At 56.8% G+C, this 24,756-nt stretch overlaps 1 protein-coding gene across 3 annotated transcripts, besides 20 other annotated features; it reads left to right on the top strand.

Moving 5' to 3' along the window:
* Window positions 376-1,054: an enhancer, noted in NCBI's record as "H3K27ac-H3K4me1 hESC enhancer chr20:62285437-62286115 (GRCh37/hg19 assembly coordinates)". NCBI's record gives its function as "activates a minimal SCP1, AML or CMV promoter by ChIP-STARR-seq in naive and primed H9 embryonic stem cells {active_cell/tissue: H9 hESC(naive and primed)}" and the evidence as "EXISTENCE:reporter gene assay evidence [ECO:0000049][PMID:30033119]".
* Window positions 1,055-1,734: an enhancer, noted in NCBI's record as "H3K27ac-H3K4me1 hESC enhancer chr20:62284757-62285436 (GRCh37/hg19 assembly coordinates)". NCBI's record gives its function as "activates a minimal SCP1, AML or CMV promoter by ChIP-STARR-seq in primed H9 embryonic stem cells {active_cell/tissue: H9 hESC(primed)}" and the evidence as "EXISTENCE:reporter gene assay evidence [ECO:0000049][PMID:30033119]".
* Window positions 1,714-15,426, top strand: STMN3 (stathmin 3). Of its 3 annotated transcripts, none has more exons than NR_075070.2 (5): window positions 1,714-1,811; window positions 10,829-10,924; window positions 11,207-11,479; window positions 12,839-13,030; window positions 13,741-15,426. NR_075070.2 is itself a non-coding variant. In NM_015894.4 (5 exons), exons 1-5 carry the CDS (start codon window positions 1,793-1,795, stop codon window positions 13,798-13,800), a joined length of 543 nt encoding a protein of 180 aa, NP_056978.2. In that variant the 5' UTR covers window positions 1,714-1,792; the 3' UTR covers window positions 13,801-15,426. The 3 variants fall into 3 exon arrangements, 2 of the variants coding, with proteins under 2 accessions (NP_056978.2, NP_001263239.1); NM_015894.4 differs by having other exon boundaries at window positions 11,207-11,382; NM_001276310.2 differs by lacking the exon at window positions 1,714-1,811 and adding an exon at window positions 2,372-2,565 and having other exon boundaries at window positions 11,207-11,382.
* Window positions 1,877-1,926: a silencer, noted in NCBI's record as "silent region_13176". NCBI's record gives its function as "represses an Ori minimal core promoter by ATAC-STARR-seq in GM12878 lymphoblastoid cells {active_cell/tissue: GM12878}" and the evidence as "EXISTENCE:reporter gene assay evidence [ECO:0000049][PMID:35858748]".
* Window positions 1,947-2,036: a silencer, noted in NCBI's record as "silent region_13175". NCBI's record gives its function as "represses an Ori minimal core promoter by ATAC-STARR-seq in GM12878 lymphoblastoid cells {active_cell/tissue: GM12878}" and the evidence as "EXISTENCE:reporter gene assay evidence [ECO:0000049][PMID:35858748]".
* Window positions 3,011-3,581: an enhancer, noted in NCBI's record as "H3K27ac-H3K4me1 hESC enhancer chr20:62282910-62283480 (GRCh37/hg19 assembly coordinates)". NCBI's record gives its function as "activates a minimal SCP1, AML or CMV promoter by ChIP-STARR-seq in primed H9 embryonic stem cells {active_cell/tissue: H9 hESC(primed)}" and the evidence as "EXISTENCE:reporter gene assay evidence [ECO:0000049][PMID:30033119]".
* Window positions 6,608-6,902: a silencer, noted in NCBI's record as "tiled region #12780; K562 Repressive DNase matched - State 8:EnhW". NCBI's record gives its function as "represses a minimal TATA promoter and a strong SV40 promoter by Sharpr-MPRA in K562 cells {active_cell/tissue: K562}" and the evidence as "EXISTENCE:reporter gene assay evidence [ECO:0000049][PMID:27701403]".
* Window positions 10,476-11,045: an enhancer, noted in NCBI's record as "H3K27ac-H3K4me1 hESC enhancer chr20:62275446-62276015 (GRCh37/hg19 assembly coordinates)". NCBI's record gives its function as "activates a minimal SCP1, AML or CMV promoter by ChIP-STARR-seq in naive H9 embryonic stem cells {active_cell/tissue: H9 hESC(naive)}" and the evidence as "EXISTENCE:reporter gene assay evidence [ECO:0000049][PMID:30033119]".
* Window positions 12,395-13,133: an enhancer, noted in NCBI's record as "H3K27ac-H3K4me1 hESC enhancer chr20:62273358-62274096 (GRCh37/hg19 assembly coordinates)". NCBI's record gives its function as "activates a minimal SCP1, AML or CMV promoter by ChIP-STARR-seq in primed H9 embryonic stem cells {active_cell/tissue: H9 hESC(primed)}" and the evidence as "EXISTENCE:reporter gene assay evidence [ECO:0000049][PMID:30033119]".
* Window positions 12,395-13,152: a biological region, named in NCBI's record as "H3K27ac-H3K4me1 hESC enhancer GRCh37_chr20:62273358-62274096".
* Window positions 12,723-12,792: a silencer, noted in NCBI's record as "silent region_13174". NCBI's record gives its function as "represses an Ori minimal core promoter by ATAC-STARR-seq in GM12878 lymphoblastoid cells {active_cell/tissue: GM12878}" and the evidence as "EXISTENCE:reporter gene assay evidence [ECO:0000049][PMID:35858748]".
* Window positions 12,953-13,152: a silencer, noted in NCBI's record as "silent region_13173". NCBI's record gives its function as "represses an Ori minimal core promoter by ATAC-STARR-seq in GM12878 lymphoblastoid cells {active_cell/tissue: GM12878}" and the evidence as "EXISTENCE:reporter gene assay evidence [ECO:0000049][PMID:35858748]".
* Window positions 13,183-13,332: a silencer, noted in NCBI's record as "silent region_13172". NCBI's record gives its function as "represses an Ori minimal core promoter by ATAC-STARR-seq in GM12878 lymphoblastoid cells {active_cell/tissue: GM12878}" and the evidence as "EXISTENCE:reporter gene assay evidence [ECO:0000049][PMID:35858748]".
* Window positions 13,462-14,220: an enhancer, noted in NCBI's record as "H3K27ac-H3K4me1 hESC enhancer chr20:62272271-62273029 (GRCh37/hg19 assembly coordinates)". NCBI's record gives its function as "activates a minimal SCP1, AML or CMV promoter by ChIP-STARR-seq in naive H9 embryonic stem cells {active_cell/tissue: H9 hESC(naive)}" and the evidence as "EXISTENCE:reporter gene assay evidence [ECO:0000049][PMID:30033119]".
* Window positions 13,473-13,782: a silencer, noted in NCBI's record as "silent region_13171". NCBI's record gives its function as "represses an Ori minimal core promoter by ATAC-STARR-seq in GM12878 lymphoblastoid cells {active_cell/tissue: GM12878}" and the evidence as "EXISTENCE:reporter gene assay evidence [ECO:0000049][PMID:35858748]".
* Window positions 15,608-15,697: a silencer, noted in NCBI's record as "silent region_13170". NCBI's record gives its function as "represses an Ori minimal core promoter by ATAC-STARR-seq in GM12878 lymphoblastoid cells {active_cell/tissue: GM12878}" and the evidence as "EXISTENCE:reporter gene assay evidence [ECO:0000049][PMID:35858748]".
* Window positions 15,741-16,501: an enhancer, noted in NCBI's record as "H3K4me1 hESC enhancer chr20:62269990-62270750 (GRCh37/hg19 assembly coordinates)". NCBI's record gives its function as "activates a minimal SCP1, AML or CMV promoter by ChIP-STARR-seq in primed H9 embryonic stem cells {active_cell/tissue: H9 hESC(primed)}" and the evidence as "EXISTENCE:reporter gene assay evidence [ECO:0000049][PMID:30033119]".
* Window positions 19,312-19,361: an enhancer, noted in NCBI's record as "active region_18236". NCBI's record gives its function as "activates an Ori minimal core promoter by ATAC-STARR-seq in GM12878 lymphoblastoid cells {active_cell/tissue: GM12878}" and the evidence as "EXISTENCE:reporter gene assay evidence [ECO:0000049][PMID:35858748]".
* Window positions 19,562-19,611: a silencer, noted in NCBI's record as "silent region_13169". NCBI's record gives its function as "represses an Ori minimal core promoter by ATAC-STARR-seq in GM12878 lymphoblastoid cells {active_cell/tissue: GM12878}" and the evidence as "EXISTENCE:reporter gene assay evidence [ECO:0000049][PMID:35858748]".
* Window positions 23,404-23,573: an enhancer, noted in NCBI's record as "experimental_61211 CRE fragment used in MPRA reporter constructs". NCBI's record gives its function as "activates a minimal promoter by MPRAs in K562 erythroleukemia cells, with activity observed for both the introgressed and non-introgressed 20:62263003 or rs67114507 variant alleles {active_cell/tissue: K562}" and the evidence as "EXISTENCE:reporter gene assay evidence [ECO:0000049][PMID:34662402]".
* Window position 23,488: a transcriptional cis regulatory region, noted in NCBI's record as "Neanderthal adaptively introgressed variant 20:62263003 (GRCh37/hg19 assembly coordinates) or rs67114507 in the experimental_61211 CRE". NCBI's record gives its function as "modulates activity of the experimental_61211 enhancer by MPRAs in K562 erythroleukemia cells {active_cell/tissue: K562}" and the evidence as "EXISTENCE:reporter gene assay evidence [ECO:0000049][PMID:34662402]".

The raw sequence follows: 24,756 nt of genomic DNA, 5'->3' as shown, positions 1-24,756 counted from the left end.
GCAGCTCTGTGTGCCTCTCTGCCCTTCTTCCTCCTTCGCAGAGCTGGCTTCCTAGGAATGGCCCAGGGGCCAACACCTCTGTGTGTATATTAGTTTGATATGGCTTCATAGCAAATCACCACAAAACCAACAGCTTAAAACAACTCTCATTCATTACCTCCTAATTCTTAGTAACCCAAGGCTGAAACCAAGTGGGCAGTTGGGCTCAGTTCTTGTGTGGAGGCCCTGGGGTCAAACCTGCCTCCAAGCCCATTCTCTTCTTGTTGGCAGAACTCACTTCCTTGCAGTTAAGGTCTTGTTGTCTTGCTGGCTGTTGGCTGGGAGCAGTTCTCAGATCCTTGCCACGTGGCCCCCTCATCTCAACAACAGAAAACCTTCTTTGGTTTGATCCCTCCGATTTCTTCAACCAGGCAAAGGAAACTGCTTTTAAAGGGCTCCTGTGATGAGGTCAGGGCCCGCCTGGTGATCCTCCAGTCTTAAGGGTACCTCTGGGCCACACAATGTCACATTCCTGGGCATCACCCCCACCAGACTCACAGTCCCGGGGATGATGCCGGCTTGCACGTCAGGGGTCAGGACTCTCCAGGCCACCCTAGGATGTGACTGGCCTTGGGTGCTCCCACCGCACTGCTAGAGCTGAGGCTTGCCCCTGGCTTTTGTGTTGCTGAGCCAGCCTCATGGCTCTGCAAGTCTCCTGAGGTTTTCAGGGTTTTGCTCCTGGCCCTATGACTTAGTTGCTTGTAGGGCAAAGCACTTTTCTCCCTGCCTCGGTGGCTTCATCCCTGCAATGGCAAAGACGCTCCGTTTGCCTACCAGGCTTTCCCTTTGGGAGTTATGAGGAGAGGGGGAGGCAGGATAGGTTGCCCCCCACTCACTAAGTGCGCACAACCCTGGCACCCCTCCTCTCCATCGTCTGGGGGCATCATTGTTTCATCTTACCCCTGAGAAACAAAGGCCCAGCGAGGTCAGACGCTTGCCCTTGGCCTGGGCCACACAGTGAGTGAAGGTCTGAGCCCAGGCGGGAAACCACCTCTTTCACGGCAAAGCCTTTGTTCTGGCCTCACTCCTCCACTTTCACTCTTCTCCGCTCAGATCCTGCCCATCCCCTGGGCTCACAGGAGATGCCCCTTGGAGGCCTCCAGGCCAGCGCCCACCCCTGTGGCTGTGGCATCCTCTCCGATGGCAGGCACAGACCTGGACCCTGTTGGCGCCAGCCCAGCCTACAGCGGCCTTGGCGGCGAAGAGCTCTGCGGCCCCACCCCATGGGTGGGACCTGCTCCTCCGGCATTGCCCCTGCCCCGCCTGCCCTGGGGAATGGGGGCTCATCTCCACCCCCACCCCACTCTCAGGCCTCACAAAGCCAAGTTGGAGAAGCAGCTGTCCCGCTGTGAGCGGTTGGAGGGTGGGGGGTCTTGTTGCAGTTCGGGTAGCCCCCCTCCTCCGCCCTCTCCCCCTGAGAGCCGCGGCCCCTTCCGCAGCCAGGCGCTTGCTCCTCTCTCTCTTCCTCCCTCCCTTCCTCCCTCCCTCCTTCCCCCGCCCCCGCAGTCTCTCTCTCTCTCTCTCTCCTTCCCCCAACCCTCCCTCCCTCCTCCCCCCGCTCCTTCCCCCAACCCTCTCTCTCTCTCCCTCTGTCTCCCTCCCTCTCTCTCTCCCGCCGCGCCCGCCTCCCGCCCGCCCTCGCTCCCTCCACTCCTCTCCCCTCCCCTCCCCGGCACTGCAGCACCAGCCGTCTGCAGCTCCGGCCGCCACTTGCGCCTCTCCAGCCTCCGCAGGCCCAACCGCCGCCAGCACCATGGCCAGCACCATTTCCGGTAGGCTCCGGGGCCACGGGCTTTGTGGGGCGGCGGGATCTGAGCAGAGGCCTCGTCTGGCCTCGCCTGGGGCAGCGGCCGGCAGCGGACGCCAATTTCCCTTCTCCTACCCTGCGCGTTGCAAGCCTGGGCCCGACCCGCCCGAGGCTGGGGTCTGCGGCGCCGGCGGGGCTGGTGGGGCGCTGGGCTGCGAGGCGCCGCGCCGGGGAGCGCTCGGGACCGGGACGTCGGGCGGGGGCGCCTCGCCCCTGGGGGAGCAGCGTGCCACGCAGGGCGCGACTGCCGCAGGGTGGCTCCCAGACCCGGGCGTGGGCTCGCGACCGGGTGGGCGCGCTCGCGATGTGCGGGCGGGGTCCCTGGGGCGTCCGGCGACCCGAGATCTGGGTCCGCCAGAGCCTTCGTGGGGAGGCGGGGAGAGGGTGGGACCCTCTGCCAAAGCCCCAGCCGGGAACCCGGCGCTCCCCGCGCCAGTGCAGCACAGGGGCTGGAGGGGGCGCTGAAGGAGGGGGGCGGGCCAGACACGGCGGAGCCCGGAGTGAGGGGGACCGCGCCCTCCCCCCACACCGCTGCGGCCTCGGGGACCACCCTTTGCGACGCCCGCGCCACCTGCTCTGGCCAGAAAAGCCACTGCCCTTTGCGCCGCGGGGTCTGGATGGGGGAGGGGCGACTGCGATCCCCAAACCCTCCGGAGACCAGAGGGCTCCGCCCCTCCCGCCCCTCCACCTCCCGCGGGGCGGACCCACCGCCTTCGAAGGTAGCGCCCACCCCGGCCTCCCGGCCCGTCCCGCGCGGAGCTCAGGCGGAGGGGCGGGCGCAGGCCCGGGCGGGGGGCGGATTCTGGACGCAGGGGAGCTGCCGGGCGACCTCGGGCGCGAGGACGCTGGGCCCGCCCTTCCCGAAACGCTCTGCTCCGCCGCGAGGCCGCAGAACCCGCTTCGTTTTTCACTCGACGTTTGGGAGGACAGGACGAAGGGCCGCACCTCCTTCCCATCGCCGCCCCCGTTCACGAGCCGCACTCCCTCCCACCTTTTCTTACGCCCCCGGGACAGGTCGCCGCGGTCCCTCTCCCGAGCTGACTGGTTCAACTCGGGCGCCTTGGCCCGGGGCGCAGAACTCCGCCCACCCACGCGTGCCCGACCTGACCCCGCCCCTCAGGCCCCACGGGCTTGGAGGCTCCAGGTGACTTCAGCACCTGCCAGGAGGGGACCGTGTGTGTCACCGGCCACACCTCCCCACCCTATCTGGGAGTCCTGTCCATCTGCGCTTCCTCCCTCCGCCTCCTCCTGGACACCCCCGGGGATACTGGGGGTGGGGGGGCTCTCAGCGGAGGGGACTCCCCTCCTGCCCCTGAGGGCAGCGCCGTCCTCTCCAGGGCCGCCTCCTGCCCTTCCTGACAGCCTTTCCCTGACGGTCCCTCCCCATGGGCTCGGTTCCTGGGGCTGAGCTGGGAGGGCGAGGGCATCTCGGCATCTGGGCACTGGCTCCTCGCTCTTTTGTGGCCTCTGCTCACATTCTCCTTCTGCAACCCAGAGTCTGACCTCCTCCAGCTGTGTGGTGTTGTCCGAGCTGCCTAACCTCTCAGGACCTGGGTCTCCTTATCTGGGTAGAGATGACGGTGCTGGCACCTCTCCTGGGGCTTGTTCTGAGGCCTCAATATTTCAGGAAAGGTGCTTGGCCGCTTGCCTGCTAAGAGATGAGTGCTCACCGCACGTCAAGCAGCCTGACTGTGGTAGCCACATTTCTGAGTTTCCTGCCCAGGGAAAGGCAAATCGGCTGGTGGCTCCTGCCATGCTGTGCTCCTGGCACCATGAGAAGCAGCCTGGGTGACAGTGACCTCCATCTGCCCCCGGGGGGAGCCGGCAGCAGCCTCCAGGGCCCTCCAGGGGTCAGAGGCCACTGTGGTCCCCTGGCCTCTCAGTTCTGGACAGATCCCCCACCTCCGCGAGCTCCCAACAGGAGCCTGCAGTCAGGCCCAGGCTCATGACTGGGCTCTCACCCGGCACTCTGTGTGATGCTGGGTGGAATGCTTGCCCTCTCTGAGCCTTCATTCCTCCTCTGTAGAAGTGAGGCAGATAGGGTGGCTCATGCCTGTAATCCCAGCACTTTGAGAGGCTGAGGCCGGTGGATAAACTGAGGTCAAGAGTTCGAGACTAGCCTGGCCAACATGGTGAAATCCCCCCTCTCTGCTAAAAGTACAAAATTAGCCAGGTGTGGTGACACACTCCTGTGATCCCAGCAATCTGGGAGACTGAGGCAGGATAATTGCTTGACCCGGGGAGAGGGAGGTTGCAGTGAGCTGAGATTGTGCCATTGCACTCCAGCCTGGGCAGCAAGAGTAGAAACTCTTTCTAAAAAAAAAAAAAAAGAAGAAAGAAGAGGAGGAAGACGAAGAAGACGAAAGAGAAGGAGAAGGAGAGCTGATAAGGGCATCCACCCGGGTGGGCGGGAGGGGTGGGTGTGAGGTGTGACCCTGGGAGTGGGCACCATCCACCTGGGCGGCGGGAGGGGTGGGCGTGAGGTGTGACCCTGGGAGTGGGCACCATCCACCTGGACGGCGGGAGGGGTGGGCGTGAGGTGTGACCCTGGGAGCGGGCACCATCCACCCGGGCGGGCGGGAGGGGTGGGCGTGAGGTGTGACCCTGGGAGCGGGCACCATCCACCCGGGTGGGCGTCAGGTGTGACCCTGGGAGCGGGCACCATCCACCCGGGTGGGTGGGAGGGGCGGGCGTGAGGTGTGACCCTGGGAGTGGGCACCATCCACCTGGGCGACGGGAGGGGTGGGCGTGAGGTGTGACCCTGGGAGTGGGCACCATCCACCTGGACGGCGGGAGGGGTGGGCGTGAGGTGTGACCCTGGGAGTGGGCACCATCCACCTGGACGGCGGGAGGGGTGGGCGTGAGGTGTGACCCTGGGAGCGGGCACTACTATACCCTGCTGCTTGAGGCCAACCTGGTGCCTTTTTCTGACTCCTGCTCATGAATCATCCAAAGGCCAATCCGCATTTCCTCGGTATCTAATGTTTAGTACAAAGAGAAGCAGGGAGACAAAACAAGCCCAGCTCACTGCGAGAATTGTTTTTAACTCCCTGAAGTCAGTGAAGGGGAAGGATGGTGGGGAGGGGGCGGTGAGAAAGAAGGGAGTCAAAGAGAGGGAGGGGCCGGGCGCGGGGGCTCACGCCTGTAATCCCAGCACTGCGGGGGGCCAGGCGCGGGGGCTCACGCCTGTCATCCCAGCACTTTGGGAGGCTGAGGTGGGCAGATCACCGGAGGTCAGGAGTTCAAGACCAGCCTGGCCAACATGGTGAAACCTCATCTCTACTAAAAATACAGAAAATTAGCTGGGCATGGTGGCATGTGCCTGTAATTCTAGCTACTTGGGAGGCTGAGGCAGGAGAATCACTTGAACTGGGGAGGCAGAGGTTGCAGTGAGCCGACATCGCGCCACTGCACTCCAGCCTGGGTGACAGAGTGAGACCCCGTCTTAAAAAAAAAAAAAAAGTCCAGGCGCGGTGGCTCACACCTGTAATCCCAGCACTTTGGGAGGCTGAGACGGGCGGATCACAAGGTCAGGAGATCGAGACCATCCTGGCTAACACAGTGAAACCCCGTCTCTACTAAAAATACAAAAAATTAGCTGGGCGTGGTGGCGGGCGCCTGTAGTCCCAGCTATTCGGGAGGCTGAGGCAGGAGAATGGCGTGAATCCGGGAGGCGGAGCTTGCCGTGAGCCGAGATTGTACCACTGCACTCCAGCCTGGGAGACAGAGTGAGACTCCGTCTCCAAAAAAACAAAAAGAGAGAGAGAGAGGGAGCAATGCCTTGAGGCTCTGGGAGGGGCTTCCCTGGCACCAGCTGTGTCTGTGGAGAGGTGGCCTGGATGGGTCTGGGCCTCGGCATCCTCTCTCTGTAATAAGAGGCAGTAGACATGCTCTTTAAGCCTCACCAGCTCTGAAAATACTGGTCCAATGCCCTGCCTCGCCCCTGACCAGCCCTGCCCTGTGCGCAGACTTCCCCTTGCTTGCTCTCTCCAGAGTTGGCCAATTCCTGACCTGCTGTCCTGCCCCCTCCAATCTGCCCTTCCTCCCTGTAGCCAGACCACAGGGCAGGCCTCACTCCCAGGCTCCGTCCTGTGGGTACCTGGTCCCACTTGCTCCTTGAGGGACAGTCTCTTGGGATAGAAGCTCCTCATGGGCCACCAGCTGGGAGAAGCCAAGCCAGGGGGTCTCCGTGGCCATCAGATGCTGAGCCGCACCTGTGTCTGCAGCTGCAGAACCCAGTTCCTCACCTCTCAGTTGGACACGTGTCTCCTGGGCAGAGCCAAGACCTGTGAGAGGTCTGACCTGCGTCCCCACCGTGCCCCTTCTTTCCTGATGATGCAGGTGCTCACACCTGCCCCCAAATTGCTGCCAGCCGTCTGCTTGCTGAGGTGAAGCAAACTGGAAGAGAGCCTCCCTGGTGTTTGTCCTTCCTCTGTATGAGCCTACAGATCTTTTTTTCGGTGAAAATTTCAGGCTTAGGGCAGACAGGGGCTTTGAGCAGCTGTTAATCACATTTTCTGGCCTTTATGGTAAACACATTCCAGTTTTTGTTTTTTGAGACAGAGTCTCGCTGTGTTGCCCAGGCTGGAACGCAGTGGCACAATCTCTGCTCACTACAACTTCCGCCTTCCAGGCTCAAGTGATTCTCCTGCCTCAGCCTCCTGAGTAGCTGGGGCAACAGGCATGTGCCACCACACCCAGCTAATTTTTATATTTTTAGTAGAGATGGGGTTTCACCATGTTGCCTAGGCTGGTCTCAAACTCTTGTTCTCAAGCGATCCTCCTGCCTCAGCCTCCCAAAGTTCTGGGATTACAGGCGTGAGCCACTGCGCCCGGCCACATTCAGAGTTTTGGATGTGTGATAAGGAAGGATGAGCTGAAGGGTAGGGGCCTGGAGTCTGCTGATAGGGAGCTGGTTGCTGGCAGAGTCAGGCCTGGAGGGGCCAAGTCCCTACCTTCTTATCCTCTCAGGACCCAGGTACGTTCTGCCCCAGCCCAAACTCCCTCTTGCTCTCTCCCTCCCCCGTCCTCCTGAGCACAGGGTTGGCCACCTCTTCAGCTCCTCTAAATGTCCCCAATGTCTCCTGACCTGCTGCTGTGGAACACATGGCTGGCACACCCTCTAACTCCCTCATCACATCCTCTTGTTTAACATTAATTTTTAATAGGCTAGGTACTGTGGCTTACACCTATAATCCTAGTGCTTTGGGAGGCTGAGGTGGGAGGGTCTCTTGAGGCCGGGAGTTCAAGATCAGCCTGGACAAGACAGCAAGACCTATCACTACTCTCTCTCTCTCTGTATATATATATGTATATATATATATATATATACATATATATATACACACACACACATATATACGTATATATATTAATATATACACACGTGTATATATACGTATATATATTAATATATACACGTGTATATATACGTATATATATTAATATATACATATATACGTATATATATTATATATACACGTGTATATATACGTATATATATTATATATATACACGTGTATATATGTATATATATTATATATATACACGTGTATATATATGTATATAATATATATACACGTGTATATATATTATATATATACACGTGTATATATACGTATATATATATTATATATATACATGTATATATATATATGTTTGTTTGTGTTTGTTTTTGAGACAGAGTCTCACTCTGTCACCCAGGCTGGAGTGCAGTGGCGTGATCTCAGCTCACTGCAACCTCTGCCTCCTGGGTTCAAGCGATTCTCCCGTCTCAGTCTCCCGAGTAGCTGGGACTACACGTGCCCGCCACCATGCCTGGCTAATTTTTGTTATTTTTAGTAGAGACAGGGTTTCATCATGTTGGTCAGGCTGGTCTCGAACTCCTGACCTCATGATCTGCCCGCCTTGGCCCCTCAAAGTTCTGGGATTACAGGCGTGAGCCACCATGCCCGGCCTCCATACCACTACAAATTTTTTTTTTTTTTTTGAGACGGGAGTCTTGCTCCCAGGCTGGAGTGCAGTAGCTCGATCTTGGCTCACTTCAACCTCCACCTCCCGGGTTCAAGTGATTCTCCTGCCTCAGCCTCCCAAGTAGCTGGAATTAGAGGAGCCCGCCACCACGCCTGGCTGATTTTTATATTTGTAGTAGAGACAGGGTTTCGCCATGTTGGCCAGGTTGGTCTTGAACTCCTGACCTCAGGTGATCTGCCTGCCTCAGCCTCCCAAAGTGCTGGGATTACAGGCATGAGCCACCACGCCCAGCTATTTTTTTCTTTTTTTTAAGCTGGTGTGTAGGCCGGGCGGGCGCGGTGGCTCAAGACCAGCCTGACCAACATAGTGAAACCCTGTCTCTACTAAAAATACAAAAATTAGCCGGGTGTGGTGGCATGTGCGTGTAATCCCTGCTACTTGGGAGGCTGAGGCAGGAGAATCGCTAGAACCCAGGAGGCGGAATTGCAGTGAGCAGAGATAAAAAAAAAAAGAAAACTGGTGTGCTGGCATGCACCTGTAGTCCCAGCTGCTAAGATGGCAGGATCCGTCAAGCCCAGAAGTTCAAGGCTGCAGTGAACCGCACAGCTGCACCCTACACTCCAGCATGGGCAACAGAGCACAGTCCTGTTTCTAAAAAATAAAGTAGGCCAGGCACAGTGGCTCACACCTGTAATCCCAGCACTTTGGGAGGTCGAGGCGGGCGGATCACGAGGTCAGGAGATCGAGACTATCCTGGCTAATATAGTGAAACCCCGTCTCTACTAAAAATACAAAAAATTAGCTGGGTGTGGTGGCGGTGCCTGTGGTCCCAGCTACTCGGGAGGCTGAGGCAGGAGAATGGTGTGAACCCAGGAGGCGGAGCTTGCGGTGAGCCGAGATCGCACCACTGCACTGCAGCCTGGGCAACAGTGCAAGACTCCATCTCAAAAAGAAAAAAAGAAAACTTGACAAGTCAGACCAAAGTCCCCTGTGAGGCTCCCCCACCTGGTCCCCCTCCATCTCCCTCCCTGAAGACAATGACCAAGACAGGTAGCTTTGCCTCGCTTCCCGGCTCAAAGTCTCATTCCTTCCCCCAAAGGCTCTCGCACGGGCCTGCCCACCCTGGGATTCCTTTCTGCTCCTCCTTACACCCTCTTGGGCTCTGTGCTGCTCTGTCCAGAAAAGTGTAGGTCACCAGGAAATTTAAGTCAGGACAGACCATTCTCTGCACTGTCACCAGAAGACCCAGCTCACCATGAAAGGCTTGATTACTTCTGCCTTGTCTGTCTTCCTTTCCTTTCCTTTCTTCTTTTCCTCCCTCCCTCCCTCCTTCCTTTCTTCCTCTCTCTCTTTTTCTTTCTGTTTTGAGACGGAGTCTCACACTGTCACCCAGGCTGGAGTGCGATGGCGCGACCTCGGCTCACTGCAACCTCCGCCTCCCAGGTTCAAGCGATTCTCCTGCCTCAGCCTCCCAAGTAGCTAGGATTACAGGTGCCTGCCACCACGCCTGGCTAATTTTTATATTTTTAGTAGAGATCGGGTTTCACCATGTTGGTCAGGCTGGTCTCAAACTCCTGACCTCAGGTGTTCCACCTGCCTTGGCCTCCCAAAGTGCTGGGATTACAGTTAAATGAGCCACTGCACCCAGCCAAAAGGATTATCGAGCACTAGTGAGAAACCGGGCCAGCGTGTCTGCTTAGGAATGAGGTTCGCCCTGAATAGACCAAAAGAGCTAAATTATTTTCACTGTGACAGCAGGCGCCTTCCTCTTCCCCTGACAGGGCACAGGGCCACAGGAGCCCGGCTTGCTTCTGGTTTGGGTTGGGCAGCAGGGACACTGGCTGGTGGGCACTTGATTGACCTGAATGGGCAAGAGGGCTGGCTGTGGTGCTGAACGGACAGCTTCCCTCCCTTGCTCCTTGGTGGCATCAGTGGCCCAAGCCCAGCCCTAGATAGACAGAGAGCATGTGCCTGGAGAGGGCCTGGTTTCATCTCAAGGTGACCACACAATCATTGGGAAGGAAAAAGGAGGGTCTGAGGGCTTCATCCAGGTTTACAGCCCAAGAAAGTCCTGCCCACAGAGGGTTTGCATCTGTGCTGGTCCCGTCATGAGTAAATCTTGCCTGCTTGAGCTGGCGAGGAGTGGGAAGGAGGAGGAGGGGAGAGAGAAGTAGCGGGACAGAGGGAGGTAAGAGTCAGAAAGACACACAGTGACAAGGAATCACAGAAAGATGCACTCAGGGAGAAAGACAGAGTCAGGGGCTACCCCCAGAGACACAGAAAGATACAATGACAGTGACAGAGTCAGACACACAGAAGGTAAACAGAGACCCAGACAGGCAGGGGTAGCCACTTTGTCAGTCTGGGCAGGTACCTGAGACTGAGTGGTTTATAGACGACAGGAACTTATTTCCCATCGCTCTGGAGGCCAGAAAGTCCAGGATCAAGGTGCCGGCAGAGTCGGTGCCTGGAGAGGTCTCGCCTCCTGGTACATAGACGGGTGGCGTCTTCTGGCTGTGTCCTCACATGATGGAAGGTGAGGGAGTTCTCTGAAGCCCCACTCTGGGGCCACTTAGGAGGGCTCTATCCTCATGGCCTAATTCCCTCCGAATGCCTCACCTCCGCACACCGGCACCTTGGGGTTACGATTTCAACACATGAGTTTTGGGTAATGGAAACATTCAGACCACAGCAGGCAGGAGAAGGATGGAGAAACAAGTCAGTGTGGAAGATGAGACAGACATTAATGCCGAGAGAGAGGAAAAGCGGGGAGAGGCAGAGGGCGAGAGAGACAGAAGGCAGGGGACACACCACGGAGACAGTGCCGACGTCTGGAAGCGAGAGAGCTGGAGAGACGAAGGGGCCGGCGGTGTGGAGACACACAAGAGAGCGTGCTGGGCAGCTCCGTGTCTCACAGAGACATGATAGAGGCAGCCATGGGGAGGGAAAACGGGGGCCCAGGTGGGCAGGCCCCAGTGGTGCTTGCTCAGCCCAGCCTTGTGCCCACAGCCTACAAGGAGAAGATGAAGGAGCTGTCGGTGCTGTCGCTCATCTGCTCCTGCTTCTACACACAGCCGCACCCCAATACCGTCTACCAGTACGGGGGTGAGTGCCTGGCTGCCGCCTGCCCTTCCCTGCGGTGCCTGCCCACCTCACCTTTTCCCCCGGCCTCCGGCAGTCTCTCTGAACTCCCGTCCTGGCTGCCTCTGGAGAGGGAGGTTCTAGGGGGAAGGGGCCCATCCTGGGGGCTGAAGCCTGGGATTCCTGCGGGAGCAGCCACCCCCTCTCGCCCAGCCCTGGGGTTGGATGTGTGCTGGGAGCATCCCGCTCAGCCCACGCCATGCCCTGGCCGGGCCTCTGAAGCTCTACTCTGGTCTTGCCCTGCAGACATGGAGGTGAAGCAGCTGGACAAGCGGGCCTCAGGCCAGAGCTTCGAGGTCATCCTCAAGTCCCCTTCTGACCTGTCCCCAGAGAGCCCTATGCTCTCCTCCCCACCCAAGAAGAAGGACACCTCCCTGGAGGAGCTGCAAAAGCGGCTGGAGGCAGCCGAGGAGCGGAGGAAGGCAAGGAGTCCTCCATCCCCCACCCCCCAGGAGTTTCAACGGAGGCGGCCCACGGGGACAGGGCCTGCAAGAAGCAGGGTGCTCCCGGACAGGCTTGGTCAGTGCCTTGGCCTGGAGCAGGAGGGGCTGTGGCTCCCTGGGCCTCTTTCTGAGAGATAAGAATGGGATGGGGAGAGGCCGGGTGTGGTGGCTCACGCCTGTAATCCCAGAACTTTGGGAAGCTGAGGCAGGCAGATCACTTGAGGTTGGAAGTTCAAGATCAGCCTGGCCAACATGGTGAAACCCCATCTGTACTAAAAATACAAAATTAGCCAGGTGTGGTGGTGCACACCTGTAATCCCACCTACTAGGGAGTCTGAGGCAGGGGAATTGCTTGAACCCAAGAAGTGGAGGATGCAGTGAGCCGAGACTGCGCCACTGCACTCCTCAGCCCGGGCGACAGGGTGAGACTCCATTTCAAAAAACAAACAAGAACAAAAAAAGAAAGGGATGGAGAGGAGGAAGGGTTCCGAGGCGGCCACCTGGAAGGAGCAGGAGCCTCTGGTGAGGGTGGGAGGCACCCTTGTCAGGGCCAGCAGGATGCTAGGGGGTGGTCCCCAGATGGGCCCTGGGGACGTCGGGTGGGGCATCCCTCTCCCAGACAGGGAAGCTGGAGGAAGGGCCTCATGTGTGAAGACCCTGAGGCTTGCTGGAGGGCGGAGGGGCCCTGGGAGAGGTGGGTGTGGGCTCCAGGTCCCCTCCCTGCAGCCTCCCCTCCCACCAGCCCCTCTGAGACTGAAACAGAGATAAAAATGTCCTTTTGGGGGTGCCACCCTGGAGGCCAACGCATTGGGCAGGGGAAGCGGCTCCGTTCCCTTCCCGGTGAGGCCAGAGACCAGGGTTCACAGGGCTGACTAGTAGGGACTGGCATGTGGGTGCGGGTCCTGCTGCCCCGCTCTCCTCCCAGGGGTCACCAGCCGGCCCCTCCCCCAGCATCCCTGGGGACCCTCCGCTCCTGGGCACCTAATTGGGAGCTGGGAACCCGGTGTGTAACAAGCAGCTACTCTGCTCAGTGGGCGGATGTCCGAGGAAGAGACAAAGCTCAGAGACCGCCCACAAGTTTAGGGTTTCTTGCTGCTGGTCCTTGGAGGGGCAGACGCGCAGGGCAGGGTGTGCAGTGGCGGCAGGGTATGGCGGGGGCCCTGGGCGCAGCCAGGACCGCGGGACCCGCGCGCGAGGCAGGGACGGGGGCGGGGGCGGCGGATCGCGACCCCCTGGCCCTGCCCCGACCACAGGCCGGATGGCAGGCGAGGGTTCCCAGGGCAGCGCCCGGGGGTCCCGGCGCCCACCGAGGCCTGGGCAGGTGGAGGCGCCAGGTGAGGCGAGCGGGCGCTGGGCGGGAGGCGGAGAGCAGGGAGGAGTCCGGCCGGGCAGGGCCCGGGGTTGCCGCTCACGCGCGCCCGCCGGCCCCGCACAGACGCAGGAGGCGCAGGTGCTGAAGCAGCTGGCGGAGCGGCGCGAGCACGAGCGCGAGGTGCTGCACAAGGCGCTGGAGGAGAATAACAACTTCAGCCGCCAGGCGGAGGAGAAGCTCAACTACAAGATGGAGCTCAGCAAGGAGATCCGCGAGGCACACCTGGCCGCACTGCGCGAGCGGCTGCGCGAGAAGGTGCGGGGGCGGGGCCGGGGCGGAGCTCGGAGCGGGCAGGGGCCGGGGCGGGGCCGGGGCGAAGCTCGGAGCGGGCAGGGGCCGGGGCGGGGGCAGGGCTAGCAGCAGTCAGGGGGCGGGGCACTGGGCGGGGGCGGGGCCAGGGCGGAGCTCGGAGCGGGCAGGGGCCGGGGCGGGGCCGGGGCGGAGCTCGGAGCGGGCAGGGGCCGGGGCGGGGGCAGGGCTAGCAGCAGGCAGGGGGCGGGGCACTGGGCGGGGGCGGGGCTAGGGCGGAGCTCGGAGGGGCGCAGAGCGGGGCCGGGGACTCCGAGGCGCTGAGCTGGGGTGGGGGTCGGGGGCTCCTCCCGTGTTTACTGGGCGTCCCCAGCAGCGCACGAGGCAGGTCCAGAGTCTGGTCCTGGCGGGACAGTAACTAGCCGCAGTAATAGATGGCTAAATTCATTATATTGAAAGTGCCCTGAAGGAAGCTCGGCTCCGGTACGAGCTAGAAGCGGGGCCCAGCCAGCTCCCAGGAAACCCGTCCTTGGTCCCTGGCCTTGCTCTGCGCCTCCCCGGTGCTCCCGCCCCCTCAACTCAGTCAGGGTCCTGCCGAAGGCCAGCCCGGATGAGGCCGGGCGGGTGCCAGGGCGCCACGGCCTGCGCGCCTGGGGGTTCCCGGAGTCGCCCCAAGCCACCCCCGCCCTCAGGCCCTCCCGCCCCCTGTCCTGCAGGAGCTGCACGCGGCCGAGGTGCGCAGGAACAAGGAGCAGCGAGAAGAGATGTCGGGCTAAGGGCCCGGGACGGGCGGCGCCCATCCTGCGACAGAACACGTTCGGGTTTTGGTTTTGTTTCGTTCACCTCTGTCTAGATGCAACTTTTGTTCCTCCTCCCCCACCCCCGCCCCCAGCTTCATGCTTCTCTTCCGCACTCAGCCGCCCTGCCCTGTCCTCGTGGTGAGTCGCTGACCACGGCTTCCCCTGCAGGAGCCGCCGGGCGTGAGACGCGGTCCCTCGGTGCAGACACCAGGCCGGGCGCGGCTGGGTCCCCCGGGGGCCCTGTGAGAGAGGTGGCGGTGACCGTGGTAAACCCAGGGCGGTGGCGTGGGATCACGGGTCCTTACGCTGGGCTGTCTGGTCAGCACGTGCAGGTCAGGGCAGGTCCTCTGAGCCGGCGCCCCTGGCCAGCAGGCGAGGCTACAGTACCTGCTGTCTTTCCAGGGGGAAGGGGCTCCCCATGAGGGAGGGGCGACGGGGGAGGGGGGTGATGGTGCCTGGGAGCCTGCGTGTGCAGCCGGTGCTTGTTGAACTGGCAGGCGGGTGGGTGGGGGCTGCAGCTTTCCTTAATGTGGTTGCACAGGGGTCCTCTGAGACCACCTGGCGTGAGGTGGACACCCTGGGCCTTCCTGGAAGCCTGCAGTTGGGGGCCTGCCCTGAGTCTGCTGGGGAGTGGGCATTCTCTGCCAGGGACCCATGAGCAGGCTGCATGGTCTAGAGGTTGTGGGCAGCATGGACAGTCCCCCACTCAGAAGTGCAAGAGTTCCAAAGAGCCTCTGGCCCAGGCCCCTCCCCACCAGGGCTTTGCAGATGTCCTTGAAAGACCCACCCTAGAGCCCTTTGGAGTGCTGGCCCCTCCTGTGCCCTCTGCCCTGGTGGAAGCGGCAGCCACAAGTCCTCCTCAGGGAGCCCCAAGGGGGATTTTGTGGGACCGCTGCCCACAGATCCAGGTGTTGGAAGGGCAGCGGGTAAGGTTCCCAAGCCAGCCCCAACACCCTTCCCACTTGGCACCCAGAGGGGGCTGTGGGTGGAGGCCTGACTCCAGGCCTCTCCTGCCCACACCCTCTGGGCTGAGTTCCTTCTTTCCCTTGGACGCCCAGTGCTGGCCTTGGAGGACGGTCAGCTGGAGGATGGCGGTGGGGGAGGCTGTCTTTGTACCACTGCAGCATCCCCCACTTCTCCACGGAAGCCCCATCCCAAAGCTGCTGCCTGGCCCCTTGCTGTAAAGTGTGAAGGGGGCGGCTGAGTTCTCTTAGGACCCAGAGCCAGGGCCCTCAACTTCCATCCTGCGGGAGGCCTTGGCCGGGCACTGCCAGTGTCTTCCAGAGTCACACCCAGGGACCACGGGAGGATCCTGACCCCTGCAGGGCTCAGGGGTCAGCAGGGACCCACTGCCCCATCTCCCTCTCCCCACCAAGACAGCCCCAGAAGGAGCAGCCAGCTGGGATGGGAACCCAAGGCTGTCCACATCTGGCTTTTGTGGGACTCAGAAAGGGAAGCAGAACTGAGGGCTGGGATATTCCTCATGGTGGCAGCGCTCATAGCGAAAGCCTACTGTAATATGCACCCATCTCATCCACGTAGTAAAGTGAACTTAAAAATTCAATCAAATGAACAATTAAATAAACACCTGTGTGTTTAAGACATGGTTGAACTGTCTGTGTGTGTCCTGCACCTGTGGGGTCGGGGGCAGCTGCGGGCTCCCTGTCTGGGAGTGAAGATCTGCTCTGTGTGTATCTCCAGACTGAAGCTGGTTATAAATCTTATTTTATCATCATGATTATGAATTGTTCTATTGACAACAGTGATTTTAAGATATGAGCATGTAAACTACACACAAGCCCACTTTCCTCTCTGGAATCCAAGGGGTGAGGTGTCAGGGTGGGGGGTGGCAGGGCCCGCTGCTGTGGGTGGGGCTGGCGGGGGCTCCCCTGCCCTCCCTCAGGGCGGAGCCCTCCTCAGGGGCTTCCTGTTGTTCAGGACTCTGTGGCCCGCCGCTCAGGAGGAAAGGGCAGGGCCTACATATGTATGCATCTGAGGCTGGAGCCTCTAGGCTGTGGGACTTCCTGACATGGGGGCAGGTGCTACGAGACCCCTGGGGCTGCACCCCACTGTTCTGTGGACTCACCCCACTCACCCCATTCACCCCTGGGCAGCCGGTTGTTCACGGTCACAGGTCTGGACCCAGGATGGGGGACAGAGTAATAAAAAGTAAGAAGACGTTCTGGGCTGGGCGTGGTGGCTCAGGCCTGTAATCCCAGCACTTTGGGAGGCCGAGGGAGGTGGATCACCTGAGGTCAGGAGTTCAAGACCAGCCTGACCAACATGGTGAAACCCTGTCTCTACTAAAAATACAAAATTGGCCGGGCGCGGTGGCTCATGCCTGTAATCCCAGCTACTCGGGAGGCTGAGGCAGGAGAATGGCGTGAACCCAGGAGGCGGAGCTTTCAGTGAGCTGAGATCGCGCCTCTGCACTCCAGCCTGGGCGACAGAGCCTCGAGACTCCATCTCAAAAAAAAAAAAAAAAAATTAGCTGGGTGTGGTGGCTCACACCTGTAATCCCAGCTACGTGGCAGGCTGAGGCAGGAGAATCGCTTGAACCTGGGAGGCGGAGGTTGTAGGGAGCTGAGGTCGTGCCATTGCACTCCAGTGAAACTCTCTCAAAAATAAAAAATAAAAAATAAAAAATAAAGATATTCTGACTGATGGACATGCCTGTCCCACCAAACAGCCACTTGGGGTGCCCAGGGGCCCCCTGTTAGGAGGGAGATGTGTTTGTAGTGGATGTCTAGACTTTCTGTGCTGAGTCCATGTCTTAGAAGGGTGTCTGGTCCCCACAACCCCGAGAGACCCAGCTTCCTCCTCTCCCAGGGCAGCCCTGGTGGCATTCCTGGGCTTGAAGGAGCTCTTGCTATCACCTCTCCTCCAGTCCAGGGAGCGTGGGCAAGTCAGGACCTCGGACTCAGCTGGGGAAGACCTAGAGACAAAAGAAATCTGCAAGGGAGAAGATGGCAGGAGAGAGAAAAGAAAGACATTGAAAGAGTTTGCAGGCTGGGCGCAGTGGCTCACGCCTGTAATCCCAGCACTTTGGGAGGCCGAGGCGGGCGGATCACGAGGTCAGGAGATCGAGACCATCCTGGCTAACATGGTGAAACCCCATCTCTGCTAAAAACACAAAAAATTAGCTGGGCGTGGTGGTGTGTGCCTGTAGTCCCAGCTACTTGGGAGGCTGAGGCAGGAGAATGGCATGAACCCGGGAGGTGGAGCTTGCAGTGAGCTGAGATCGCATCACTGCACTCCAGCCTGGAAGACAGTGAGACTCCATCTCAAAAAAAAAAAAAAAAAAAAGAAAGAGTTTGTAGGCCAGGCGCGGTGGCTCATGCCTGTAATCCCAGCACTTTGGGAGGCTGAGGCGGGTGGATCACGAGGTCAGGAGATCAAGACCATCCTGGCTAACATGGTGAAACCCCGTCTCTACTAAAAATACAAAAAATTAGCCGGGTGTGGTGGCGGGCGCCTGTAGTTCCAGCTACTCAGGAGGCTGAGGCAGGAGGATGGCGTGAACCCGGGAGGTGGAGCTTGCAGTGAGCCGAGATAGCGCCACTGCAGTCCGGCCTGGGCGAAACAGCAAGACTCTGTCTCAAAAAAAAAAAAACGAAAAAACAGAGTTTGTATATAGCATCCCTGTATCCTGGGCATACAGACACACACATGCCACATACAACATTGAAAGAATTTGTATATGGCATCCCTGTACCCTGGGCATGCATGGGCACGCAGACACAGACACCACACACAAACACACGTGGGCCTTGGCCTCCCGCAAGACCAAGCTGATCGCAGGCCGGGTGCTGGCAAGGCACTGAGGGCAGATGGAGTTTATGACAGTCACCATGTGGAGCCTCTGGCATCAAGTGGGGGCGGACATTCCTTCACAAACTGATCGCACTTTTCCCATGAAGAAAAGGAAAGGCAGGCTCCTCCTGGGAGGCCAGACAGAGCTGTTTAGTGACCTATTGTGTGTGACAAGTCACCCCTTAATTAACAACGAACATTATCTGTCAGTTCCCATAAGTCAGGAGTACAAAACCTGGGGGTTTCTGGCTCGGAGTCTCTCATGATGTTGCAGTCAGGACGTTGGACGAGGTCCTGGCCATCTGAAGGCTGGGCAGGAGGTGGGGCATCCTCTTCTGAGAATGCTCCCTCCCGAGGCTGCAGGCAGGAGGCCTTCATTCCTTACCACATGGACATCCAGGGGCTGCCTGAGTGTCCTTGAAACATGGCTCTGGGGGACCCAAAGCCAGCGACCTGGGTGGGGGTCGCTGGGTGGGGGGATATTGGGAGGAACCCAATGTCCTCTGGGTGTGGGGAACCATGTAAGATCTGCTGTTAGAAGTGAGTCACTGAGAAGACTCATGCTTAGGAGGGAGTTGGGTTCCAGCTTTTGAGGTGAGGAATGTCAAAGGATTTGTGAACATATTTTATTTTCTTATTTTATTTATTTATTTAGAGATGGAGTCTCGCTCTGTCGCCCAGGCTAGAGAGCAGCGGCGCAATCTTGGCTCACTGCACCCTCTGCTTCCTGGGTTCAAGCGATTCTCCTGCCTCAGCCTCCTGAGTAGCTGGGATTACAGGCACGCACCACCACGCCTGGCTAATTTTTGTATTTTTAGTAGAGACAGGGTTTCCCCATGTTGGCTAGGCTAGTAGAGACGGGGTTTCATCATGTTGGCCAGGCTGGTCTCGAACTCCTGACCTCGTGATCCGACCGCCTTGGCCTCCTAAAGTGCTGGGATTACAGGTGTGGGCCACCATGCCTGGCCTTATTTTACTTTTTTGAGACGGAGTTTCACTCTTGTTGCCCAAGCTAGAGTGTAGCGGTGTGATCTCAGCTCACTGCAACCTCCACCTCCCAGGTTATAAGCGATTCTCCTGCCTCAGTCTCCCAAGTAGCTGGGATTACAGGCGTGAGCCACAGTGCCCGGCCTTGTGAATGTATTTTATTTTATTTTATTTTTTGAGACAGAGTTTCGCTCTTGTTGCCCAGGCTGGAGTGCAATGGCATGATCTCGACTCACTGTAACCTCCACCTCCTGGATTCAAGCGATTCTCCAGCCTCGGCCTCCCGAGTAGCTGGGATTACAGGCATGCACCACCTGGCTAATTTTGTATTTTTAGTAGAGATGGGGTTTCACCATGTTGGTGAGGCTGGTCTTGAACTCCTGACCTCAGGTGATCCACCCACCTTGGCCTCCCAAACTGTTGGGATTACAGACGTGAGCTACAGTGCCCGGCCAGTCTGTGAACGTATTTTAAAACCACATCAGACACTCTGCCTAGAGTGACTGCTATGATCTGAATGTGTCACCTCCGAAGTTCACGTGTTGGAAACTTAACCGCAGCGCAGCAGTGTTCTGCTCTATTAAAAGGGCTCCTGGGAGTGGGCTCTCTCTGACCACGTGAGGACACGGTGGTCAAGGTGCCATCGTGGAAGCAGAGACCAGGCCCTGACCTGATGGCCCCTTGCTCTTGGACTTCCCAGCCTCCAAAACTTTGAGGAAATAAATTTCTGTTCTGTATTAAATTACCCAGTCTGTGGCATTCTGTTACAGCAGCACAAAACGGGCCAAGACAGTGACTGTATGTTTTGGACACAGCTGGTGCTTGCTTGGTGTCTGGGGCAGCAGTGGGTGCCCCCCAAACAGGGGTGTCCAGCAAAGCAGGTGGGGATACGGCACAAGTGGAGGCCTGACTCAACCAGTTGCTCCCCCACAGCCTGCTGTGCACTCGTGTCGGGCAAAGGTGCGGCCATGCAGAAGTGAGCACAGGAAAAGCTGGTGCCAACCACAAGTGCTTCTCCTTTTGCTGAAGAAAAACAATTTTGATGTTCTGCAGTTGCTCAGTTTCCTGGGACTGCTGTAAGAAGTACCACAAATGAAGCGGCTTAAAACAACAGAAACTCAGCCGGGTGCAGTGGCTCATACTTGTGATCCCAGCACTTTGGGAGGCCGAGGCAGGAGCATTGCTTGAGCCCAGGAGTTTGAGACCAGTCTGGGCAACATGGTGAAACCCCATCTCTACAAAAAATACAAATATTAGCCAGGCGTGGTGGTGCTCGTTTGCAGTCCCAGCTACTCTGGAGGCTGAGGTGGGAGGATCGCTTAAGCCCAGGAGTTCAAGACTGTAGTGAGCCATGATTGTGCCACCCAGCCTGGGAGACAGAGCAGGGCCCTGTCTCAACAAACAACAAACAATAAACTTGTATTTCTAGTCACCAAAATGTTGTGTGTATAGCATAGTTTATTATATTCAAAACACTTTCAAATTTTTTTAATCTTCATAATGTCTACTCTGGGAAAAACAGGATAAACATTGTTACACTAACCTTTTTTTCTGGTTGCAAATGTAAGACATGGTCATTGCATCACTGCAAAACACAAGGACAAGAGGCCAGGTGCAGCGGCTCATACCTCTAATCCCAGCAAGGCCTCCCACCTTTGGGAGGCCGAGGTGGGCGGGTCGCCTGAGGTCACGAGTTTGAGACCAGTCTGGGCAACATGGTGAAACCCCATCTCTACTAAAAATACAAAAATTATCTGGACGTGGTGGCGCACACCTGTAGTCCAGCGACTTGGGACGTTGAGGCAGGAGAATCGCTTGAACCTGGGAGGCGGAGGTTGCAGTGAGCTGAGATTGAACCACTGCACTCCAGCCTGGGTGACAGAGCAAGACCCCATCTCAAAAAAAAAAAAAAAAAGTTATTTGTTAATATCACCGTCAAGCTCATCAGAAAGTACTGGGAAGCCTTTCACAATGGCAAAATTCTTTTTTTTTTCTTGGCCCGGGCACAATGGCAAAATTGTTATTCTTACTTCAAAGCTCAAATTTTATCACTGGTAACAAATGCTGTCAGTTGCTTTCCTTAAAGTGTATGGGTTTTTTTTTTTTTTTTTTTTTTGAGACGGAGCTCGCTCTGTCGCCCAGGCTGGAGTGCGGTGGCGCGATCTGGGCTCACTGCAAGCTCCGCCTCCCGGGTTCACGCCATTCTCCTGCCTCAGCCTCCCGAGTAGCTGGGACTACAGGCGCGCGCCACCACGCCCGGCTAATTTTTGTATTTTTAGTAGAGATGGGGTTTCACCGTGTTAGCCAGGATGGTCTCGATCTCCTGACCTCGTGATCCGCCCGTCTCGGCCTCCCAAAGTGCTGGGATGACAGGCGTGAGCCACCGCGCCCGGCCGGGTTTTTGTTTTTTCTTTCACTCCCCTGACATAAAATATTTGGTATTTTTCTATACCAGCAACCAATTCTCCAACCGCTAACTGGGTGTCCAATATAATACAGGTAAATTCTGACACTGCCTTCCTGGAGGGTGTGTCAGATCCTACAAATTACAAGGGCTCAATCCTAACCGACTGCCCACACTTCAGACCCCGGGAGCCAGTCCAGAGCCACTTATATTTATGACCACTGGGCTTTCTAAATCAGGGGTTCTCACAACCTGCTCTTCAGGTTAGATGATTTACTAGAATGTCTCACAGAACTCAAGAAAATTTGTATGTTTGTCAGTTCATTATAAACGAACAGCCAAGTGGAAGAGATATTCAGCCATCCCCGTTAAAGTGGAAGTAGACCTGAGTAAACTTTTATCCAGTATTGGACAATATCCTCTAAGGCGTGAAGCAATGAAAAGAATCAGACCCATAACAAGAGTGTATCTGCTTTCGGGATCTAGGAGTGCTACAATTAAATAAAAAATGAGAGTATTTTTAAACAAAGATTAATTTTAAAAAGAAAGAAAGGCTGGGCCTGGTGGCTTATGCCTGAAATCCCAACACTTTGGGAGGCCGAGGTGGGTGGATCACCTGAGGTCAGGAGTTCAAGACCAGCCTGACCAACTTGGTGAAACCCTGTCTCTACTAAAAATACAAAAATAAGTCAGGCCTGGTGGCGGGCATGTGTAATCCCAGCTACTCAGAAGGCTGAGCCAGGAAAATCACTTGAACCCAGGAGGTGGAGGTTGCAGTGAGCCAAGATCGCGCCATTGCACTCCAGCCTGGGTGACGAGAGTGAAACTCTGTCTCAAAGAAAAGCAAAAAAAGAGAAAAGGGTATAATGATCCCTTGCACAAGCCCATGTATTATAGTACTGCGATCCTTCCCATAAGGAAACCAAATGGGAGGATCTGGCATTTTGTACAAGACCCCAGAGCTATCGACAACATTGTGATTCCACGACATGGGTGCTACCAAAGCCTCCCACTCTGGCAGCCACCGTCCCTGCAGAAGCGAGGTATTGACTGTGGCTGATATATGCAGTGCTTTCTCCAGTAGACACAGAGTCGGCTCGTTTTCTTTTACATGACAGGACCAGCAGTATACCTCAACCATCATGCCCTAAGGACACACCAAGGGTCCCACCTATGTTTCTTTTTTTGCTTTGAGATGGAGTCTCACTCTGTCACCCAGGCTGGATGGAGTGTGGTGGCGTGATCTCAGCTCATCGCAACCTCCACCTCCCCGGTTGAAGAGATTCTCCTGCCTCAGCTTCCCAAGTAGCTGAGACTACATGTACACACCCAGCTAACTTTTGTATTTTTAGTAGAGATGGGGTTTCACCATGTTGGCCAGGCTGTTCTTGCACTCCTGACCTCAGGTGATCTGCCCATCTCGGCCTCCCAAAGTGTTGGGATTACAGGCGTGAGCCACTGTGCCCGGCCTGCAGGCAACACTTTTTTCTCTTTTTATTTATTTATTTTTTGAGACAGAGTCTCACTCTGTTGCCCAGGCTAGAGTGCAGTGGCACAATTTCAGCTCACTGCAAACTCCTCCTACCAGGTTCAAGCGATCCTCCCAGCTAGGTCTCCCAAGTAGCTGGGATTTCAGGTTGCACCACCATGCCCAGCTAATATTTGTATTTTTACTAGAGACGGGGTTTCACCATGTTGGCCAGGCTGGTCTCTAACTCCTGGCCTCAAGTGATCCTTCCACCTTGGCCTCTCAAAAGGCTGAAATTATAGCCACTGTTCCTAGCTCAGCATTTTCCACCTGGTGGATGTCCAAGTTTCTGAAAAATAACTCAAGAACATATGTTAAGCTGTTATATTTTAGTTTCCACAGGGAATCAAAACACCTTGTGACTCTGACTTACTTGGGAGACTATTGTTTTTTTGTTTTTTTTTTTTTTCTTTGAGACAGAGTCTCGCTCTGTTGCCCAGGCTGGAGTGCAGTGGTGCGATCTCAGCTCCCTACAACCTCCGCCTCCCAGGTTCAAGCGATTCTCCTGCCTCAGCCTGCCACGTAGCTGGGATTACAGGTGTGAGCCACCACACCCAGCTAATTTTTTTTTTTTTTTGAGATGGAGTCTCGAGGCTCTGTCGCCCAGGCTGGAGTGCAGAGGCGCGATATCAGCTCACTGAAAGCTCCGCCTCCTGGGTTCACGCCATTCTCCTGCCTCAGCCTCCCGAGTAGCTGGGACTACAGGCACCCACCACCACGCCCGGCTAATTTTTTGTATTTTTAGTAGAGACGGGGTTTCACCATGTTAGCCAGGATGGTCTTGATCTCTTGACCTTGTGATCCACCCGCCTCGGCCTCCCAAAGTGCTCAGATTACAGGCGTGAGCCACTGCCCCCGGCCGGGAGACTATTGTTTAAGCTGTTTCTATCTTCTTCCTCATCAGATTGTTCCTTTGCCTGTCAAGGGTGGCGAGGTGCCTGGAATTTCCCTTAGAGGAACTCAGGACTCAAGATTCTTTTGTTTTGTTTTGAGACAGTCTTGCTCTGTCGCCCAGGCTGAAGTGCAGTGGCATGATCTTGGCTCGCTGCAACCTCAGCCTCCTGGGTTTACATGATTCTCCTGCCTCAGTCTCCCAAGTAGCTGAGATTACAGGCGCCCGTCACCATGCCTGGCTAATTTTTTTGTATTTTTAGTAGAGACGGGGTTTCACCATTTAGCCAGGCTCGTTTTGAACTCCTGACCTCAACGAATCTGCCCGCCTCGGCCTCCCAAAGTGCTGAGATTACAGGTGTGAGCCACTGTGCCTGGACCTTTTTTTACCTTTGGAGACAGACTCTCGCTCTGTTGCCCAGGCTGAGTGCAGTGGCACAATAACAGCTCACTTCAGCCTTGACCTCCTGGTCTCAAGTGATCCTCCCACGTCAGCCTCCTGAGTAGCTGGGACTACAGGCATGTGCCGCCACACCTGGCTAACTTTTTAGCTTTTGCGGAGATGGGGTCTTGCTATATTGTCCAGGCTGGTCTCAAACTCCTGGACTCAAGCGATCCTCTTGCCTTGGACTTCCAAAGTGCTGAGCTTACAGGCATAAGCCACCATGCCCAGCCAACCCAGTTTCTCTACTTTAAAATTACCATCTTTCAGCCGGTTGCAGTGGCTCATGCCTATAATCCCAGCACTTTGGGAGGCCGAGGTGGGCAGATCACAAGGTCAGGAGTTCGAGACCAGCCTCACCAACATGGTGAAACTCCGTTTCTACTAAAAATACAAAAATTAGCTGGGCTTGGTAGCGTGCGCCTGTAATCCCAGCTAGTTGGGAGGCTGAGGCAGGAGAATCGCTTGAACCTGGGAGGCAGAGGTTTCAGTGAGCCAAGATCACGCTATTGTACTCCAGCCTGGGTGACAGAGTGAGACTCCATCTCAAAAAAAAAAATTATCATCTTTCCCTTTGTAGTTAATAAATATGGCCAGACACGGTGGCTCACGTCTGTAATCCCAGCACTTTGGGAGGCTGAGGCGGGTGGATTACCTGAGATCAGGAGTTTGAGACCAGTCTGACCAACATGGTAAAACCCTGTCTCTACTAAAAATACAAAAAGTAACTGGGCATGATGGCGCGTACCTATAATCCCGCCACTACACTCCAGCCTGGGTGACAAAGTGAGACTCCATCTCTTTTTTTTTTTTTTTTTTTTTTTTGAGACGGAGTCTCGCTCTGTCGCCCAGGCTGGAGTGCAGTGG

The sequence above is a fragment of the Homo sapiens genome, chromosome 20 (assembly GCF_000001405.40).
Source record: "Homo sapiens chromosome 20, GRCh38.p14 Primary Assembly".
In the NCBI taxonomy this organism is placed as follows: domain Eukaryota; kingdom Metazoa; phylum Chordata; class Mammalia; order Primates; family Hominidae; genus Homo; species Homo sapiens.
Note: the sequence above shows the minus strand (reverse complement) of the source record. Positions and strands in the feature narration are given on the sequence as shown.